We start from the raw sequence: 22,240 nt of genomic DNA on the forward strand, positions 1-22,240 counted from the left end.
AGCTGGGCTTCAGAAGCGTCCAGGTTGGTGGCGTCCTGGAGGCGGGGCCTTGCGTGGGGGCAGGATAAGAGTCCTGGAGGCGGGCATTAGGGCAGGGATAAACGCCATTGGGTTCAGGAGGCGAGACTCGGAGCAGAGCCCAGGAGACAGGTCTTAGGGCGGCGCTAAGGCCAGACCCAGAGAAGAGCTCAGGAGGCGGGGCCGGGGCGGGGCGTTGACTATGTCGTAGCACATGGCCAGGCGGTGCTCGGACTCTGGGAGGCGGAGCTTAGGACGGGCCGACGTGGGGAGGGGCCCAGGGTCCGGGAGGCGGGGCCGAGTCCGGGCTGCGGGCTGCGCTCAGGAGGCGGGCCCTGGGAGGCGGAGCTTAGGGAGGGGCCGGTGTCGGGAGGGACCCAGGGACTGGGAGGCCGGTCGGGGCTGGGCTCAGGGGCCGAGACCTAGCTGGGCTTGGGGCGGGGCCGAGACGGAGCGAGGGGTCCAGGGCGTGGGAAACGGGGAGGGGTTTGAGGAGGGGATCGGAATGTGGCTCAAGTTCGGGAGGCGTTACCTGTGGAGGGTTTGAGGCAGGCCCAGCAGCGAGGCCACGGTCTGCCGACGCGGGGCCAGGGGCGGGCCCCAGGATCCGGAGCTTAGGGCGGGGCCGAGTCCGGGTTTGGGGACCGGGAGGCGGGGCCGGTTAGGGCGAGGGTCCCTGGGATCGTCGGGTCAGGCCTTGGGCCAACGTAGGCACTCTCGCAGTTCCTCCGCCTTCAGGAAGGTCTTTTTGGCAGGGGCCCTACGGGTGCGCGCTTCGGTCCTGGAGGCCTTATCCAAGCCTCCTCTCCATCAGCGCCACCCGTCTGGGGTCCGAAAGGAGGGAGCTTTCCCTCTGTCCCCCAGCCTTTGGACTGTCACCAAACAAGCCATTCGTTCACCAAATACTTATTAAGCGCCTACCAGGTACCTGACAAGGGAGATGTAACGGTGAGAAAAACTAGGTGTGGTCCAGGCCCTCCAGGGGCTCAGGGGCTCGTGGAAGAAGTGGACATTGAAGTATTTATCACACAAATGAGTATAAAAGTACAATAGCGATATCTGCCACGAAGGCGAGCAGACAGAGCTAGCGGGGCTTGCAGGAGGAGTTTTGATCTTGCAGGGACAGGAAGGAGGAGTTAGCTCCTGCGGGGTGGGATTGGGGGTGGTGGTGATATAGACGTGGGGACAGAGTGGAAAACAACAAAAATATAATTAATTTAGTTCAAAGTTATTGTGTCTTGAGTTGAAAGGCAGGGCAGTTAGCAACACAGTTCAGATTTCAGTACTGCCCCTGAAATCTGAACTGTGTTCAAAGTCTAAAACGTTTACCTTAGCAAATCCCTCATAAAACTCCATTTGGAAGAGTCCCGAGAGCTAATTTGTAAAGTATACTTGCAGAAGGTAGATGAGGAGACAGATTAAATCTTATTACCTCTTTCAGATGAGAGGCTCTTGAGCCCTGCTCAGCTATGAGAATAAGAGGGGAATTAATTCTAATAGAATACACTTGTTCTCGCATAGCTGTTGTTCCCCACCAGAACCAAATGAGCTCAAGATCTGACAAAGAAAAAAAAAAAGGTTCATCTTTTATTCCCCCAAACACTTTCATTTAAATCAAGAGGGTGGGATGTGGTTATTGCTGTGTTTTTAGACAGAATCAACAGTTTCTGGGTCTGAGATATTGCATACACCCTCTCAGTCCCTGTATCCTGAGATAGAGTCACCTGATAATCCACAGCAAGTCCTAACCAGGGATGGGTCTGGGTGCTTAAGGAAGGTTGGCTTCAGAACTGGGCCAGGGGCACTGCTTTGCTTTTGCTGTTTTGATCAGCTCTCTGCCTGCAGGAGACAAGGAAAACCAATGGTAACAAGTTAGTTACACTCATAAATCCTGGGCTTATTTTATTAACTCACATAATAGCTATTAATTGCCTTTCCTCCAAGGAGCAAAAGGGCATATACGGTCAATGCTGTAATAAGTAACACTGTATTATGTTATACTAAAATATTAATAAATCTAGGTTGGTTCAGTCTTTCCTGATTCCATAGATTGCAAGCAGATTGAGGAAGGACCCTAGCAGACCACAGAGCTGAGCCATGAGCACAGAAGAAATCTTTTTTTCTTTTTTTTTTTTTTGAGACGGAGTTTCGTTCTCTTGTTGCCCAGGCTGGAGTGCAATGGCGCAATCTCGGCTCACTGCAACCTCTACCTCCCGGGTTCAACCGATTCTCCTGCTTCAGCCTCCCGAGTAGCTGGGATTACAGGCGTGAGCCACCATGCCGGGCCATTTTTGTATTTTTAGTGGAGACAGGGTTTTAACACGTTGGCCAGGCTGGTCTCAAATTCCTGACCGCAGGTGATCCGCCCGCCTCTGTCTCCCAAAGTGCTGGGATTACAGGCGTGAACCACCGCGCCTGGCCAGAAGAAATCTTTATCTTGGTGTGCGGGTTCAGATGAGGGACAAATGTCATCTCTCTTGGATCTGAATCTGGAAGGATCAAGGCACTGAAGGGATTTTTTTTGTTTCAGAGAGTCTAGAGTCTCCCTCTGTCGCCAGGCTGGAGTGCAGCGGCACGATCTCGGCTTCTGCAAATTCTGCCTCCCGGGCTCAAGCGATTCTCCTGCCTTAGCCTCCGGAGTAGCTGGGACTACAGGCACGCGTCCCCATGCCCGGCTAATTTTTGTATTTTTAGTAGAGACGGGGTTTCACCATGTTGGTCAGGATGGTCTCAATCTCTTGACCTCATGATCCATCTGCCTTGGCCTCCCAAAGGGCTGGGATTACAGGCGTGAGCCACCATGCCCGGCCTCACTGAAGGGATTTTTTTAATGTCACGTGGCTGTCACAGGTGCGGTGTGTTCGGGTGCAAGTGAAGATTAGGACTGATGCTTAAAAACAAACGTGAAATTCCAGGCGGTGTTGCTACGGGGAGCAGCATCAGGACAAGCTGGTTTCAGTTGCAAGAGTTTGCGTGTACGTGCAAGAACTACAGTCGAGATTCAACTTCCGGCTTTGAGGGTCTCTTTAATAACAGTAATAACAACCTAAGGCAGTTTAACAGTATGGAATGGTTGCCTTTTAGAAGTTAAGCTATGGGCATGGAAGTTCAATCAGTCCATTGAAGTTTTTCCTTTATCTCTCCTATGGTTAATGGTTTCTGCAGAAAAGGACCAATTGATTTCTTTCTAAAACGTTGCTTCAGGGTGTAGAGACCTTTATAGGTCATGTTTCAACTTACAGAAAATTTTATAGTTCAAATATAAATTACGTTCAATGTGGACTTTGCAATAGAATTGAAGGTTAAGTAAAGTTTCCACTTTCCTTAGGCTGTTTGCAGTGCCCAGCAGGCCCCATGATATCGAGGTGGAAGTTATGTTAAAGGAGGAGGTTGGTCAGGGATGGGTAGAATAAGGAATATGCGCAGCTCAGGCTAATGATGCAATGACTGAGGTGTAGAAAGAGGGCCAGGCACGGGATAACGCCTGTAATCTCAGTGCTTTGGGAGGCCAAGGCAAGAGGATCACTTGAGGTCAGGAGACCAGCCTGGTCAACAGAGTGAGCAGAGTGAGACCTAACCTGTACAAAAAAACCACAAAAAACCAAAAAAATTAGTTGGGCATGATGGTGTGCGCCTGTAGTCTCAGCCACTTGGAAGGCTGAGGTCAAGGGATCCCTTGAGCCCAGGAGTTTGAGGCTGTAGTGAGCTATAATCACATAACTGTACTCCAGCCTGGGTGACAGGGTGAGGCCCTGACTCAAAAAAAATTGAGTCAGGGAAAAAATTGGAAATCTTAATCCTCCGTACCCAGGAATGTGACCTTATTTGGAAATAGGGTCTTTCTAGATGTAATCAAGTAATGATGAATCGTACTGGATTGGGGGCTGCTGGTGAGGAGGCAGATGCAATGACCGGCGTCCTGATAAAAGAAGAGAATGAGGGCCGGGCATGGTGGCTCATGCCTGTAATCTCAGCACACTTTGGGAGGGTGAGGTGGGTGGATCACTTGAGGTCAGGAGTTCGAGACCAGCCTGGCCAACATGGTGAAACTCCATCTCTACTAAAAACACAAAATTAGCACTGCGTGGTGGCGGGCGCCCGTAATCCCAGCTACTCAGGAGGCTGAGGCGGGAGAATCACCGGAACCTAGGAGGCGGAGGTTACAGTGAGCCAAGATTGTGCCAGTGCACTTCAGCCTGGGTGACAGAGGGAAACTCCATCTCAAAAAAATAAAAGAGGAGAATGTCAGGTGAAGACAGAGACACAGGGAGAAGGCAGCCATGTGATGAGGGAGGAGAGATGGGAGCGATGCATCTACAAGGAACACCAAGCATTACCAGCGGCCACCAGAAGCCAGAAGAGGCAAGGAAGTATTCTCTCTTACATATTTCAGAGGAAGCGAAGCCCGGCCGACACCTTGATTTTGGGCTTCTGGCATCCAGGCCTGCGAGACAATACATTTCTGTTGTTTTCAGTCACATGCGGGGCCCTTGTTGTGTTGTGGTTTTTTTTTTTTTTGGAGATGGAGTTTCACTCTTGTGCCCCAAGCCGGAGTACAATGGCGCGACCTTGGCTCTCTGCAACCTCCTCCTCCCAGGTTCAAGCTATTCTCCTGCCTCAGCCTCCTGAGTAGCTGGGATTACAGGCATGCGCCACCTTGTCTAGCTAATTTTTCTATTTTAGTAGAGATGGGGTTTCACCATGTTGGCCGGCTGGTCTCAAAATCCTGACCTCAAGTGATCCGCCTGCCTCAGCCTCCCAAAGTGCTGGGGTTACAGGCATGAGCCACCGTGCACGGCCTTGTGGTTATTTTTTTTAGACAAGAATCCGCTGTGTCATCCAGGCTGGAGTACAGTGGTACAATCTCACCTCCTGCAGCCTCGACCTCCCTGGGCTCAGGTAATTCTCCCATCTCAGCCTCCAAGTAGCTGGGACTACACGCTTGGCTAATTTTTGTATTTTCTGTAGAGATGGGGTCTTGCTGTGTTGCCCAGGCTGGTCTCAAACTTCTTGGGCTCAAGCCATCTGCCTGCCTTGGCCTCCCAAAGTGCTAGGATTACAGGCATGAGCCACTATCCCTGGCCACCCTTGTTAAAAAATAAAGAATTTGAAGATGGTGATGGCAGATTATTAAACCACAGTGGGGACTCTTCTGTGTCCCTGTGGGACTGTCCAGGTTGCAAGCCTATGAAGCCGGCCCTGGCTGCTGGGTTCTTGGAGTGCTGGACCTCCCGTGGCATGTGGCAAGGAGTTGTCATGGGTTATCACGACATATGATGATCAACTATGGGAGACCCAAAGACCACTCAGTCCTTTTTCCGATGAATGGCTGTGTATGTCACACTAGCAACAAACAGAACCGCAAGAGCTCCTGTGACAATGCTGAGCCCGATCACTGCGCCTTGCAGAGCAGATGCCGTCTGTACCTCCCTCCTGTTAAGAAACCAGAGGGTTTTTAATTGCCTGATTATTAAGAGGCTCTTCTGGCTGCTCCTGGTTTCCTGGGAAGTTTCCCATCTAGCCGCTAGTGAGTATTCATTATGGAAATGAAATGTACATTTAACCCAAGAAAATGCTCACTCTAGAGAAATCTCATAGGGCAAGTCGTTGAAAGCCGATTTACTAAATGACCTCTTCACCAAATGACCCATTTGCCTAATGACCACTTTGCCAAATGATCAATTTGCTGAAAGCCAATTCGCTGAAAATCTGTTTGTGGGATATCCTGCTTATTAGTAACTGACAGTCAGACGCAGCTTATCCCAGGCTGCCGTTCCCCATTTTACAGCTGGGGAAAATGAGTTACAGAGCTTGTTTGCATTGAGTCAACAGGAGCAAATGCTAGATCAGGTAATTGAACCCAAGCAATCTGGTTCCAGAGCCAAATAGATGTATTTTTTATGGTACAAAAACATATACATACATTTTTAGGGGAAGGGTGGGTGTAGGGTGGGATGAGGATTCTGGGTAATTGCTTGGTAAATGCCAAATACCTTTCTTGTCTGTCCCTCTTTTCAAATGATGAAGTAATGTCAATTGCAACACTTTTTTTTTTTTTTGAGACAAGGTCTAGCTGGAGTACAGTGATGCAGTCATAGCCCACTGCAGCCTCAAATTCCTGGGCTCAAGCGATCCACCCACATCAGCTTCCCAAGTAGTTGGGACTGCAGGCCCACACTACTATGCCCAGCTAATTATTTTAATTTTTGTAGAGATGGCAGGTGGCGGTGGGGGGTGGGGGCGGTTTTGCTATGTTGCCCAGGCTGGTCTCAAACTCTTGACCTCAGGTGAACCTCCTGCCTCAGCCCCACAAAGCTCTGGAATTATAGGTGTGAGCCACTGTGGCTGGCTACAATACTATTTATTTATATTTTAGACCAACAGATATTCTAGCATATAAGAAATGTGATGCTCTCTGTACATTGAAGAGTTGGTCTAATATTTGTCCTGGTGGATAAAGAAATTGCCTGTCTGCTCCGCTCTGGTTAAGAAACCAGTCCGACTGTCTCTGCGGCTATGGAGCAGTCCATCAAGAATGAAAGCCCACGGCCAGGCACGTTGGCTCACACCTGTAATACCAGCGCTTTGGGAGGCCGAGGCAGGTGGATCACTTGAAGTCAGGAGTTCGACACCAGCATGGCCAACATGGTGAAACCCTGTCTCTACAAAAAATAGAAAAATTAGCTGGGCCTGGTGATGCGTGCCTGTAATCCCAGCTACTCAGGAGGCTGAGGCAGGAGAATCACTTGAACCTGGCAGGCAGAGGTTGCAGTGGGGAGCTGAGATCACACCACTGCATCCCAGCCTGGGTGACAGAGCGAGACTCTCTCAAAAAAAAAAAAAAAAAAAAAAGAATGTCTTCATGATGGCCTCAAGCTCATTGGTCCCTGAAGAGAGTCAAGGAAGGCCCACTTTACTCTGCACTACAAAGCAGGCAGGTGGACAGGAATCTGAGAAGTGGATTCAGTGAGAGGCATTGACCAAAAGGATTTTCTGCCTAATGGTCGGTTCAGCAGAAGATTAAACTGAGCACAGCATCCTGTTCCCTCAAACTATCTGGTTGGTCAGTGGGGAATGTTCTTGTCTCGTTAAATGTCCTCATGCTACTGTCAGGATATCCTGTTACAAAACATCATAAACCAGGTTTACAAACAGGCCAGGTGACTGTGGAATTTCTCCTTGGCAAGGCCTTAGCTATGGGCGTGGGATTGGCGTGCAGTAATCACAGGGTTCCGGGCCACTTGAGGGATAAAATATGCCTTAGGTGATAAACTGTTGTATTTTAATGTGAATATTTCCACCAACATTAAACAGTAACCCCATGAGTTTTCTCATACCTGTTACACTCTGGAGTTGCAACAAGCTAACATGAAGCAAGTTGCAAACACAATTATCGCATTTGGCTCCTGTTCACAGCAAGGGTTTTTCAAGCTCTACCTGGGACAGTCTTCCCTCACATGAGGTTTATAGCATCATTTATTTCATTATTTATTTATTTTTTGAGATGGAGTTTCGCTGTGTCGCCCAGGCTGGAGTGCAATGGTGCGATCTTGGGTCACTGCAACCTCCGCTCCCCCGGGGTTCAAGCGATTCTCGTGCCTCAGCTTCCCGAGTAGCTGGGATTATAGGCACCCGCTACCACGTCTGGCTAATTTTTGTATTTTTAGTAGAGACGGGATTTCACCATGTTGACCGGGCTGGTCTCAAACTCCTGACCTCAGATGATCCACCCGCCTCAGCTTTCTCAAAGTGTTGGGATTACTGGCGTGAGCCACGGTGCCCAGCTATAGCATCATTTAAGCTTTGTTTCTGCCATCAATTGTTAGTTGGTAGTTAACAAAATATAGACCACCTCATTTATGTCTCACAGTTAGCATTGGTTTTTGTGTTTTCTTTAGGCTTGTTTTTTAATTGTTTTTAAAATTGTGAAGCAGGGTCCTGTTCTGTTGCTGAGGCCAGAGTGCAGTGCTGCAATCTTCGCTCACTCCAGCCTCAACCTCCTGGGCTCAAGCAATCCTCCTACTTTAGCCTCCTGAGTAGCTGGGACTACAAACACGAGCCACCACCGCTGGCTAATTTTTAATTTTTTTTTTTTTTTGAAATGGAGTTTCGCTCTGTCGCCCAACAGGTTGGAGTGCAGTGGCATAATCTCGGCTCACTGCAACCTCCACCTCTCGGGTTCGAGCGATTCTCCTGCCTCAGCCTCGGCACCCACCACCATGCCTGGCTAATTTTTAAAAAATATTTTTAGTAGCGACAGGGTTTCACCATGTTGGCCAGGCTGGTCTTGAACTCCTGACCTCAAGTGATCCACCTACCTCGGCCTCCCAAAGTGCTGGGATTACAGGCGTGAGCCACCACGCCAAGCCTAATTTTTAAATTTTTTGTAGAGACCAGGTTTTGCCATATTGTCTAGGCTGGTCTTGAACTCCTGGGCTCGAGTGATCCTCCTGCCTTGGCCTCTGAAAGTGCTGGGATTACAGGCATGGCCTTTATGCCTGGCCCTTAAAGCTGCTTTTTAATAACAGCCTTACTGAAATATAATTCACATATCATACAATTTACCCATTTAAAGTGTACAATTTGGCCGGGCATGGTGGTTCACATTTGTAATCCCGGCACTTTGGGAGGCTGAGGTGGGAGGATCGCTTGAACCCAAGAGTTTGAGATGAGCCCGAGCAACATGGCAAAACCCTGTCTCAGCGAAAAATACAAAAAAATTAGCTGGGCATGGTGGGTGTGCCTGTAGTCCCAGCTACTCAGGAGGCTGAAGTGGGAGGATGGTTTGAGCCCGGGAGGTGGAGGGTGCAGTGAGTTGAGATTGCACCACTGCACTCCAGCCTGGCAACAGAGCCAGACCCTGTCTCTAAATAAATAAATAAAGTGTATAATTCAGTGGTTTTTAATATATTCACAGAGTTGTGCAGCCATCACCACCATCAGTTTTAGAAATTTTAATTACCCCAGAAGAGACCCTGTATCCATTAGCAGTCACCCCTTATTTCCCCTGACTATCCCCACCCCTGGCTCCTGGCAACCATCAATCTTTGTTTCTTTGGATTTTCATATTCTGGGCATATATTATATATGTGTATATATATATGTGTATATATGTGTATATATATGTGTGTATATATATGTGTGTGTGTGTGTGTATATATATATATATATAAATAGAGTCATCTAATATTTGTCTGGCTTCTTTCACTTAGCCTAATGGTTTCAAAGTGTATCCAGGTTGTAGCATGAATCAGCCCTTCATTCCATATTTTGGCTGATTAATGTTCCATCACACGGGTAGACTGTACTTGTTTGCCCATTCACCTGTTGTTGATAGACATTTGTGTTGTTGCCACCTTTTGACAATTATGAATAATTTTGCTACAAGCATCTGTGTGTGTCTTTGTAGGAACAGGCTTGCATATTTTTTGATATGGGCAAATGAGAACCAGTGGCAGGAGGCCTTTGTGGTGAATTTTTCTGTGATCTTTGTGTACTCTGTATAATGATCACCCACGCAGGCTTGGGGGCAGCACTTAACCTCACATTTCTTTCTTTTTTTTAATGATAGGGTATCTCTCTCTGCCACCCAGGCCAGAGTTCAGCTGATGCAGGGCAGGGGAGCCCCCAAGTGGAGCCTAGTGTGTCCGGAACTGGTGGGTTCTTGGTCTCACTGACTTCAAGAATGAAGCCGTGGACCCTCGCGGTGAGTGTCACAGCTCTTCAAGGCGGCGTGTCCGGAGTTCTTTCCTTCTGATGCTCGGATGTGTTCAGAGTTTCTTCCTTCTGGTGGGTTCCTGGTCTCGCTGGCTTCAGGAGTGAAGCTGCAGACCTTCAAGTTGAGTGTTACAGCTCTTAAGGCTGCATGTCTGGAGTTGTTTGTTCCTTCTGGTGGGTTCGTAGTCTCACTGGCTTCAGGAGTGAAGCTGCAGACCTTCGCAGTGAGTGTTACAGTTCATAAGGGCAGTGTGGACCCAGAGTCAGCAGCAGCAAGATTTATTGCGAAGAGCAAAAGAACAAAGCTTCCAGTGTGGAAAGGGACCCCAGTGGGTTGCCACTGCTGGCTGGGGCAGCTTGCTTTTATTCTTTTATCTGGCCCCACCCACATCCTGCTGATTGGTCCATTTTACAGAGAGCCGATTGGTCTGTTTTACAGAGAGCTGATTAGTCCGTTTTGACAGGGTGCTGATTGGTGCGCTTACAATCCCTGAGCTAGACACAAAAGTTCTCCAAGTCCCTGCTAGATTAGCTAGATACAGAGTGTCCATTGGTGCATTCACAAACCCTGAGCTAGACACAGGGTGCTGATTGGTGTGTTTACAAACCTTGAGCTAGATACAGAGTGCCGATTGGTGTATTTACAATCCCTTAGCCAGACATAAAGGTTCTCCAAGTCCCCACCAGACTCAGGAGCCCAGCTGGCTTCACCAAGTGGATCCCGCCCTGGGGCCACAGGTGGAGCTACCTGCCAGTCCTGCGCCCAGCGCTGGCACTCCTCAGCCCTTGGGTGGTCTATGGGACTGGGTGCTGTGGAGTAGGGGGCGGTGCTCACTGGGGAGGCTCAGGCCGCGCAGGAGCCCACGGTGGGTGAGGGGGAGGCTCAGGCATGGTGGTCTGCAAGTCCCCAGCCCTGCCCTGCGGAGAGGCAGCTAAGGCCTGGCGAGAAATCGAGCACAGCAACTGCTGGCCCTGGTGCTAAGCCCCTCACTGCCCAGGGCCGGCGGGGTCGGCTGGCCGCTCCGAATGTGGGGCCCACGGAGCCCACGCCCAGCCGGCACTCGCGCTGGCCCGCAAGCGCCCTGCCCAGCCCCGGTTCCCGCCAGCGCCTCTCCCTCTACACCTCCCCACAAGCTGAGGGAGCCGGCTCCAGCCTTAGCCAGCCCAGGAAGGGACTTCCACAGTACAGCAGCGGGCTGAAGGGCTCCTCAAGTGCTGCCACATTGGGAGCCCAGGCAGAGGAGGTGCCAATAGTGAGCTCCAGGGCTGCCAGCACGCTGTCACCTCTCAATAGCACATGAGGGTTCTTGCCTTTGCCCAGGAAAGAATTCAAGGGCAAGCTGGAGGTATAGAAGAAAACAGCTTTATTGAAGGGGCAGCGTTACAGCCCTGTGACTGCTCCTGTAGGGCAGGGCTACCCTGGAGTCAGAGAGTAGCGGAAGAGAGTTTGCAATCACGTTTATACCCACTTTTAACTGCATGCAGATTAAAGGGCAGTTTATGCAGGAATTTCTAGAAAATTGGTAGTAACTTTTGAGTCATTGGGTCATTGCCATGGAAAGGGGCAGTAACTCCCGGGTGTCGCCATGGCAATAGTAAACTCACATGGCACACTGGTGGGCATGTCTGATGGAAAGCTGCTTCTGCCCCAGCCCTGTTTTACCTAGTCCTCAGTTTGGTCTGGTGTCCAAGCCCTGCCTGTGAAGTCAAGTCCTGCCTCCTATCTCACAGTGGCGTGATCATGGCTCACTGCAGCCTCAACACCCCGGGCTCAAGCAATTCTCTCACTTCAGCCTCCTGAGTTGCTGGGACCACAGGCACGTGCCACTACGCCCAGCTACATTTTTTTTGCATTTTTTGTAGAGATGGTGTTTCACTGTGTTGCCTAGGCTGGTCTCAAACTCCTGGGCTCAAGCAATCTACCTACCTTAGCCTTCTAAAGTGCTGGGATTACAGGTGGGAGCCGCTGCACCCAGCCCAACCTTACATTTTTAATCTCAAGTCACTTCTCTCTAGGTTTCAATTTCTTCTTTAGAATGGTGGAACTAAGAGCATCTATTTTATAGGGTTGTTGGGCAGGCAAAATGAAAGAACTGCTATTCAATGTTTAGTGAAGCGCTATGCACAATTTTGAATAATGAAGTTGGTGTTTATTTTTTATTGTTTATTTATTTTTTAGAGACGGGGCCTTGCTCTGTTGCTCAAGCTGGAGTGCAGTGGTGCAATCACAGCTTACTGCAGCCTTGACCTCCTGGGCTCAAGAAATCCTGCCACCTCAGCCTCCTGAGTAGCTGGGACTACAGGCATGCATCGCCATGTCTGGCTATTTATTTATTTGTTTGTTTTTTGTAGAGATGGGGGTCTCCCTGTGTTGCCCGGGCTGGTCTTGAACTCCTGGCCTTAAGCAATCCTCCTGTCTTGGCCTCCCAAAGCACTGAGATTACAGGTGTGAACCACCATGGCCAGCCTTATTTTTATTTTTAAATCAGCCTTGTCAAGTTGAATTGGTTATTAATCTTGTATAATGGTAATTTGGGGCAGCATTGGTTGGGCGGGGGGTGGGGAACATTTAGGACCCTGTGGGCTACAACTCGTAGTGTGTGCACTTATTTTATTTTATTTTGTTTTGTTTTGTTTTATTATATTATATTTTTTGAGACAGGGTCTCACTCTGTTGCCCAGACTGGAGTGCAGTAGCATGATCTTGGCTCACTGCCACCTCTGCCTCCCAGGTTCAAGCGATTCTCCTGCCTCAGCCTCCAGAGTAGCTGGAACTACAGATGCACGCCACCACGCCCAGCTAAGTTTTGTATTTTTAATAGAGATGGGGTTTCACCATGTTGGCCAGGCTGGTCTCAAACTCCTGACCTCAGGTGATATACCTGCCTCAGCCTCCCAAAGTGCTGGGATTATAGGCGTGAGCCACCGTGCCCGGTTGTGCACTTATGTTTGATTTTTGCAGAACCACCCTTCCCTAATGGTTGTCTCCTAGATCCAAGGTGACTTTATTCATTTTAGAATGAACTTACCCCATTGATACTGTAACCAGAGTTGGCATACATCACGATTGGCAGAACTTGGTCATGTTTAGCGAGACGGAAGTGTTCTGGAAACTCCTCCTTATAGACGTGGAGGTGACGGTGCGCATTCTTCAGTGCCTGGTAAAGGGCTTCCTCTTGCCCCAGTTTGGGTAGGGGCATCCCAAAGCCACCGTAGCCCACAATATCAAACTTGACCAGGTCCCTGAACTTGACGTAGTAGGACAAGGGGATCTTGTTGACATTGGGTCTCTTCTTCATGGTTGTCATCCCATGGCCTCATGTGATGATGACACTGAGGTGCTCTGCAGGCTGTGCTTCTCTGTGGCTCCTACCAGATACCCGATGGTCCTGTCGATTTGCTGAATCATCAACTTCCTGTTCTCTGCCTCTGGCCCGAATCGATGTCCCACGTTATCTGGCTCTCTGTAGCACAGAGTCACAAAGTCAAAGTCTTCCTTGGTGAACCAGTTCATGACGGTATCGATGTTCTCCCTCCACTCTGTCTCGTTGCTGTTTGGGTGAGTGTAGGACTCCACCAGGGACCGCTTGACAGCCTCACCGTCGTATTTAGCACCTCCCCTGGAATAGTGGGATGATGCTGCTTTGTTCCCCTGCAAATACAAGAAGAAAATTCCATCAGGGCCATTTCTCATACCTTTCTCACAATCAGCAAAGCTCAATTGTCTACATCTGTGCCCCAGTCCAAAGACATAGAAAATATGGGGTCTTTGGAGTCAGACAGGGTGGAGTTAGATTCTGGGCTTCCCCAGGATCTCATAGCATCTACAACACTGTTAGTTACAAGATGTGCTATTATTTTATGGGCTACTAAGCAGAAAAATGCTGCCAATGAGACCGTGACATTCCAGTGATTGTAAGGTGTATTCCAACTTCAGAGATGGCAAAATGAAAAATAATTCCTTAGAATAGAGGGAGATGGTAATTTCTGAGTTTTTTGTGGTGAATCTGTGCATGTGTGTTTTTTATATATATATGCATATATATACACACATATACATATATATATATGTGTATATATAGACATACCTATATACATGTACATATATATATGTGTATATCTAGTAGTGCAGTGGTTCAATCATAGCTCATTGCACCCTTGAACTCCTGGGCTTAAGCGATCCTCCCACCTCAGCCTCTTGAGTAGCTGGGGCCACAGGCATGTACCACCATACCTATATATATTTTTTTTTTTTGAGACACGGTGTCACTCTCTCACCTAGGCTGGAGTGCAGTGGCATGTTCTCAGCTCACTGCAACCTCTGACTCCTGGGTTCAAGCAATTCTCATGCCTCAGCCTCCCAAGTAGCTGGGATTATAGACACGTGCCACTATGCCCAGCTAAGTTTTGTATTTTTAGTTGAGATAGAGTTTTGTCTTGTTGGTCAGGCTGGTTTCGAACCCTTGGGATGAAGTGATCCACTTGCCTTCGCCTCCCAAAGTGCTGGGATTACATGTGTGAGCCACCGTGCCTAGCCCTAATTTTTTTTTTTTTAAATATTTGTAGAGATGAGGTCTCGCTTTGTTGCCCAGGCTGGTCCTGAACTCCTGGGTTCAAGTAATTCTCCTGCCTCAGCCTCTCAAAGTGCTGGGATTACAGGCGTGAGACACCGCGCCCAGCTGGTGGTGAGTTTTAAAATTTCCCAGTGTCTAAGTGTTTCTACCTGTAGAATGCCAAAAAGTAGATGGCATCTTTGTGAGGATTAAGCCGGCTAGCTTCTTTTTGTTTTTGTTTTTGTTCTTTTTTTTTTGTTGTTGTTGTTTGTTTGTTTTTGATACAGAATTTCTCTCTTTTCACCCAGGCTGGAGTGCAATGGTGTGATCTTGGCTCACTGCAACCTCTGCCTCCTGGATTCAAGTGATTCTCCTGCCTCAGCCTCCCAAGTAGCTGGGATTACAAAGCCAGCTAGCTTTAAGATACAGTGTTGGGCATCACATTTTGGCATGGAGCAGGCACTCTTTTCTTTGCCCCCAGGTGGGACTAAGCCACCACAAGCCTTCCCTGGTGTGTGCAGTGGGTGATGAATGCTTGCCTGCTCAGCACCCACTACCTGCTGGGCTGGGTCACATTACTCTGACTCCCCCTTGAGCTTCAGTCCGCGCCTGGTTCAAGATGTATTGACTCAACCTGAGGATCCAGAGGTGGGGTGTGGCTCTGGCCTGGCCAGAGGACCGAGGATGCTGCATGCCATGGCTACAGCAAGTGGTTCAGTTTTGGGCTCATGTCCTAGTCAGAGCCAATGAGATGTAATCTTGGAATATCAGCTGGGCTGTTGGGAAGGGGACAGGCTGCCCTGCTCATCCCCATTCCTGATGCTGAGGGATCTGAGAAAATCACTTGTAAAATTTGGGGGTGTTTGGAAGAAGGGGAGACTGATGTCTCCTTCTCTCTACAGACATCTGATGAGCTACAGAGCTTGACTAACCTACCCAGAGGCAGAATGATATGGTGGTTAAAAGTGTGCTCTGGGCTGAGATCTTGCCACTGCACTCCAGCCTGGGTGACAGAGTGAGACTCCGTCTCAAAAAAAAAAAAAAAAGTGTGCTCTGGGCTGGGTGCGGGGGCTCACGACTGTAATCCCAGCACTTTGGGAGGCTGAGGCAGGAGGATCACTTGAAGTCAGGAGTTTGGGATCCGACGCTATCTCTAGAAAAATGTTTTTAAAAAATTAGCTGGGTTGGTGGTGAATGCCTGTAGTCCCAGCTACTCGGGAGGCTGAGGCAGGAAGATTGCTGGAGCCCGGGAGTTCAAGGCTGCAGTGAGCTATGATCAGGCCACTGCACTCCAGTTTGAGGGACAGAGAGAGACCCCACCTCCCTAAAGAACAAAAAAGTGTGCTCTGGTGCCGCACTGCCTGGTTAGATCCTTTGTCCACCAGTTAGATGCATGTTATATAAATGCTCTCCTCAGTTTCCTTGTCTGTAACTTGGGGATGATAATGCTGCCCCATGAAGTGGTTGTGAAGACTAAATGCATGTGGGCACATTGGGAAGTATTCAACAAGCTTGATTTTTCCTGGAGAGGGAGAAAGAGCATGCAGTGAGGTGGCATGGTCAGGTGCATTGGGGCAAGGATTATTTCCTCTGGCTTCTGCCTCCTGGGAGGTACTAAGGATGGATCTGAAATGTGTCTGCAGAACCCAGAGTTAGGGACCACAGAGGGAAATTGAGATCAGGGACCCCAGTCTGGCAGAAATGGCTGCAGCATGCATGGGGCATTGGGTTCCTTCCATCAGAGGCATGGGGTGTGTTGCAGACAGTCATGAGATGTGGCTGAATCTTGCAAGGGAGCCGCGGTCCTAGGGTTGCTGTTTGAGACAAAGACCGCCGTCAGTGGAACCTGGTGACGTTCACCCTTCTGTGTCAGGCTGCAGACAGCAAGAGATGGCAGCAGATTACACCCAACAGGAAAAGGGCCATTGCTATCCCACAGGTTGCCATAGGAGGAGATGACATCTCTTCCCTCTCCTCCTCCAGCAGTGTCAGCTGGGGAAGAGGTGGGTGGGTGTACACGAAACAGTAGACCGCAGACCATGCTCCTTCTCCTCCAGTCTGCTGGGGCCCCGAGAGAGTCTGCAGCCCTTGGCCAGGGACCGGCTGACACAGGAGAACAAAAGACCTTAGGCTGGGATAACATGGTGGTGCAGTTCATCCTCTGGAGCTCCCTGTGAGATCAGACTGGAGCCAGTCTCCAGCTCAGACCACATCTCACTTAGCTCCTTCCCTGCCATATCCTGTTTTCCTTACTCCTATCTCCTGAGAGTTCTTCCTGAATGAATTACATGCACTCAATCCCTGCCTCAGGCTCTGTTTTTAGGGAACTTGACCTAAGACAGATATCTTCGTGGTAAATACTTTGCAAGGCCTCAGAAGCTCTGCTGTCCACAGGCAGGTGAGATATTACCTTCCCTACCACCTGGCAGTCATAGTCTAGGATGCGATTCAGCTTTGTGGAAGTGCTTCTCTAAAGAACTTCCCCCAATTTAAGATGATCTTAATTTGCTTACTTGTTTACTGTCCATTTAGCTGCTCTAAAATGTGAGCTCCAAATCAGGGGCCATGTCTGGTTGGTTGCCCATTTCCTGGGACCTAGAACGGGCCTAGCTCAGAGCAGGTGCTCACTATTGATGGAATGCATGTTGAAAGAATGCGTGAATCTCATCTCCTTTTGTGGGTGATTCCTGATTAACTTTCTTTCTTTTTTCAAAATGGAGCCGTGATCTGTCACCCAGGCTGGAGTGCAATGGTGCGATCTCGGCTTGCTGCAACCTCTGCCTTCTGGATTAAAGCAATTCTCCTGCCTCAGCCTCCCCGGTAGCTGGGATTACAGGTGCACGCCACCACGCCTGGCTAATTTTTTGTATTTTTCATAGAGACAGGGTTTCACCATGTTGGCCAGGCTGGTCTCGAACTGCTGACCTCGTGATCTTCCTGCTTTGGCCTCCCAAAGTCCTGGGATTACAGGCATGAGCCACCGTACCCAGCCACTCTTGATTAACTTGATGGAAATATTTACAGAGATTCTTTCTCTTCTGGGTTCTAGCATCTTATCTGTAACATCTGCAGGTAATACATTTTCCTTCCTGATGATAGCATTTCTATGGTTGCTTTCACTTGCAAATCCTCTAATACTTATTTATTCCATTTCTGATTGGCATTAGACATAATTCTCAATTTTTAGTGACAGCACTTTTGTTAACTTACATATAAATCGTCTTTGCCTTGAAATGTGACATTGACTAGAAGGATGAAACTTCTAATATGCTGTAGAACATAGTTTGACTGGCTAATTTATTATTGAGAAAAAGCTAATATTGCCATTATGAGGGACTTAGGTGGCTCTGAAGAAACAGTTGTATTTCTGATGTTTGCAATGTTAAATCACAGATATTGCCAACGTGAAATAGTTTCCGTATGCTGTGTTCTCAATACACACCTTTTCCAAAGATATCCCAAGCTGTAGTCTTAGGAAACTGTGATTTTTCTTATTTGGTCTCATAGGAATTTGGGGAGCTATGCGGGATCTCCATAAAATGAGCTCCAGAAAGACACATGTGTGCGCGCGCACACACACACTCACACATGTACCACACCACACTTGACTCTGTTTATTTGGGACCCATGATTATCAGAAGTGCTATTTTCAACAAACACTTCTGAGAAATAATCTGAACACTTAATTGGATGCAAAAGAGTGGGTATTTACTATTCTACCCTTTAATTAGCATAATCAGTGTTTCCAGCAGCAAAAGCAATTGGAAAATCGCTAGTTTTATTAGGTTCATTATTCTCCCTTAGCGTAGTGTGGCATCAGCATGGTTATTATTCTTAAATTGCCTCTTTAAAACAAGGGCTGGTGCTTCTTACAGGCAATTCCTAACTCTTGGGTTTTGTAGAGAGTCCAAAACTCTTTAGAACCTATAATTCAAGGAAAGGCTCCACTTTGGTTTTACATTTTGTCTGGTCTCTTTGGGTGACAGAATTTATGTCACAAGGCGCACGTGTTTGGGGGAGGCTCATGGACAGCCCATCGTGCTTGTGCTTTGGTAGGAAGTACGTGCAGTTAAGGGGAAGGAGTTAGTTACTCACCTAGGGAACAATTGGGTAGAAAGAGATGTACTCCCTGTATTTGAAATTCAGAACTCAAGCTTGGCTCTAAGTGTTTCCTTGCTTTGCTGTGCTCCAGGGGAGTCACTGAGCAGAAGGAAGCGAGTTGCCTGAGATTCTTCAAAGCCTGCAGCCCTTTTGGAGGTTACATTTTTATTCTCAGAGCCTTTACGATGCATAATAAAGACCTAGCTTGGACCAATAATTGGATGAGTTATCTTGCTATTAACATTCTTTTAGGAAGAAGTTGCTGGTCCCATCTTGCTCACAATCCTCCAAAGTTTGAAAGTTATTTTCCAGGAGACTTAGCTTGCACTGAGAGCTGCCCTCCCACCCTCTCTCCAAATTTCCTCTTGGGAGTAGCCTAACAAGGTGCTGTCACAGACCCTTGCCAGCCACGATGACCCCACCCAGACCATCCCTCTGCTGTTTCACTCTTTGATACTCTCTGGAGCTCTCTGGGGAGGGGTGAGACCTGCCGTCTGGTTTGTATGGTTTGCCCAGGTCTGGCAGTCATGGCTGGCTGCCTCTCTCTGAGAACTGAGACTCCTGAACTTGGTGAAATACCTCAGTCATCGATCGTGTTGAATTATCGGGGACAGTCATTTAAAATCCGAGCCTGTTCCAGATGGACTCTCTCTGTTTCTGCCCTGAACGTGAGAGAAGCCCTGCTGGACGGTGGAGATGCTCGTGGGTTGTGAGCAAGGGATGGAAAGGCTGCCGGGAATCCCATCTTTCCAGCATCATCTGCCAAGGCACATCAGTTCCTGGGTATCTTGATGGGTTCTGGCAGCATTACTGTCATTGAAGGAAAAATTTTAGCCATATTAAAGGTGAATGCAGCAATCCCCACACAGGCTGCCTGGAAGGGAGGCGGGACAAGGGTAGGTTTTCCCTGTGACGGACAGGAGGCAGGCGGCCCTCCCACAGCCCTGGTGGCAATGCAGATGTGTCCCCAAAGGTACTGGGGGCCAGCTGGAGTGCTGTGCCGAGGCGGGCTCACCCGGGCCGTGGGTTCGCTCTGATTGCAGCGGTTTCCCACCAGCTCTTTGGAGAGCTGGCAGATGGCCCAGCCCCACCGCAGGAGCCACGAATGGCAGAACAAGATACAACAATTTGATATCCACTTGCCAGACGAGCCGGGTGTCGTCAGTCGCCTGGCTCTGTGCCCAACCTCTTTTTGCATAAACACTTATGAGTTCAGCCAGGAGGAAAAGCACTCTGATTATGAATTGAGCAGAAGGAAACAAAGTTTTGCAGATAAACACCAATGAGACAAAAAACCACGAATAAGAAAAATGACAGAAAAGGAGAACCTTCCCAGAAGCCTCCTGCCAGTGAACGGCCACCAGAGCAAGAGCATGGAGGCCCTGGGTTTTGAACTGTGAGATAAGGAAGATGATGAAAACCTCCCTAGCAGCCAGACAAGCACAAGATTCCTGTGAAATCCAGGTCTAAGTGTTTTGACCACAGAAGTAATATTATGTCATAGGTGAGAGCTGTGAGTTGCTGAACCCAAAGTGAGTTCAAATCCGGGTTCTGCCTCCTGCAACCTGTGTGACTTTGAGAAGTTCCAGCACCGCTTTCTGCCTCAGTTTTCTCATCTGTTAAATGGGCATAATCACAGCTCCCGCCTCAGAGTTGTTGTAAATTAATACATGTAAAGCACTGAAATCAGCCTGGTATACAGTAAGTGTTATGAACGTTATTTTCTTGGAAGGACAGAACTTATTTTCATGGTCTAAGCCTGAAAATCTAAAAAATGTGAGAGAAGAGGAAAGAATCTAGAGTGTCACCATGAGGGGGAAAAGTCCACTTGAAGCAGGACAGGGTCATTGACAATTTCCTGTGATTCTACAGCTGCCTTGTACACTATGGTAGCTCCTAGCCACTTGTTGTTTAGATTTTGTGATTTAGAAATGAATTAAGGCTGGGTGTGGTGGCTCATGCCTGTAATCCCAGCACTTTGGGAGGCTAAGGTGGGCAGAACACCTGAGGTCAGCAGTTCAAGATCAGCCTGGCCAACATGGTGAAATCCCGTCTCTACAAAAATACAAAAATTAGCCAGGCATGATGGCGGGTTCTTGTAATCCCAGGTACTCAGGAGGCTGAGGCAGGAGAATTGCTTGAATCTGGGAGATGGAGGTTGCAGTGAGACGAGATTGTGCCACTGCACTCCAGCCTGGGGGATAGAGTGAGACTCTGTCTCAAAAAAAAAAAAATTAGTTAAAATAAGAGAAAATTGAAAATTCAGCTCTTCATTCTCACCAGCCACATTTCAAGGGCTCAACAGCCCATGTGGGTGGCTAGCAGCTCCCCTGTTGGACAGTGCAGAGTAGAGCAAGTCCGCCATTGCAGAATGTTTGATTGGACCGTGACTGAATAGTCTATTGCAGTGGTCCCCATTTTTTTTTTTAGCACCAAGGACCAGTTTCCATGGATTTGTTGGGGGGAAGTTTCGGGATGATTCAGGTACATTACATTTATTGTGTACTTTATTTCTATTGTTATGAAAATTATAATATATAATGAAATCATTATACAACTCACCATAATGTAGAATCAGTGGGAGCCCTGAGCTTGTTTTCCTGCAACTAGATAATCCCATCTCAGGGTGGTGGGAGACAGTGACAGATCATCAGGCATTAGATTCTCATAAGGAGCACACAACCTAGATCCCTTCCACATGCAGTTCACAATAGGGTTGGTGCTCCTATTAGAATCTAATGCCACTGCTGCTCTGACAGGAGACAGAGCTTAGGTGGTAACACTAGCCAGGGGGATCAGCTGTAAATACAGATGAAGCTTCACTCGCTAGCCTGCTGCTCACCTCCTTCTGTGCAGCCCAGTTCCTAACAGGCCACAGACCACTACTGGTCCATGGTCTGGGGGCTGGGGACCTCTGGTCTATTGGATAACCCTGGCTTTGAGCATTCTGATCAGCCAAAGAAGCGCTGAGATGATTTGGCCTCCATTAGTAAGAATGATGGACTTTTTTTTTTTTTTTTTTTTTTTGAGACAGAGTTTCACTCTTGTTGCCCAGGCTGGAGTGCAGTGGCACCATCTCGGCTCACTGCAACCTCCGCTTCCCAGGTTCAAGCGATTCTCATGCCTCAGCCTCCCAAGTAGCTGGAATTACAGGTGCCTGCCACCATGCCTGGCTAAGTTTTGTATTTTTAGTACAGTTGGGGTTTTGCCATGTTGACCAGGCTGGTCTTGAATTCCTGACCTCAAGTGATCCGCCTGCCTTGGTCTCCTGAAGTGCTGGGATTACAGGCATGAGACACCGCACCTGGCCAGATGGACTTTTTTTGAGCATTTACTTCCAAGCACTTTCCCTGCACTTTCTCAGTTAATCCTCCCAGTGACTCTTTGAAGCAGGGACTGTGACAATCTTCATTTCACAGATGGAGCAACTCAGGCACAGAGAGCAAGTCATTGGCCACGGTCACCCAGCTGAGGAAGGATGGAGCCGGCTGAGATCCTGTTCTGGGGATCTAACTCTGCAGCCTGCATTCTGGGCTGCTGTATTCTGCCATGTGCTATCTGACGAGCACAGCATGGGCTCAGAGTACAGAGAGGAGGAACCAGGTAATAAGGAGAGGTCTGGGGCAAAGGCTGGTGCCTTGGGGAAGAAGAGAGAGGCCCCATTCTAAAGGGAAGCCATTGGAAGCTCATAGTGATAAAGCAAAGCCAACAGGTTTTGGGGCTGGGAGTTAAACACACAGCTCTGGTTTCTGCCTTTTCACAGTGGTGATGAATGGGCACTGAGAGCCTCTCAAGCTAAAGTTGTCGTCACTGCTCTTCATAGTCTGAAGGTGCATGAAATGGTCAACTTT

At 48.5% G+C, this 22,240-nt stretch overlaps 1 long non-coding RNA gene and 1 pseudogene across 1 annotated transcript, besides 1 other annotated feature; one reads left to right on the top strand and one right to left on the bottom strand.

Annotated features, from left to right (window-relative positions):
- Nucleotides 203–742: a silencer, noted in NCBI's record as "silent region_7174". NCBI's record gives its function as "represses an Ori minimal core promoter by ATAC-STARR-seq in GM12878 lymphoblastoid cells {active_cell/tissue: GM12878}" and the evidence as "EXISTENCE:reporter gene assay evidence [ECO:0000049][PMID:35858748]".
- The window catches only part of ENPP7P14 (ectonucleotide pyrophosphatase/phosphodiesterase 7 pseudogene 14), a 37,893-nt pseudogene continuing 28,402 nt past the window's right edge, over nt 12,750–22,240 (bottom strand).
- Nucleotides 17,237–20,085, top strand: LOC107984828 (uncharacterized). The gene is made up of 2 exons (XR_001752066.1): nt 17,237–17,360; nt 18,481–20,085. It is a non-coding gene; the product is annotated as an uncharacterized LOC107984828 (long non-coding RNA).

Source organism: Homo sapiens, chromosome 16 (assembly GCF_000001405.40).
Source record: "Homo sapiens chromosome 16, GRCh38.p14 Primary Assembly".
In the NCBI taxonomy this organism is placed as follows: Eukaryota; Metazoa; Chordata; class Mammalia; order Primates; family Hominidae; genus Homo; species Homo sapiens.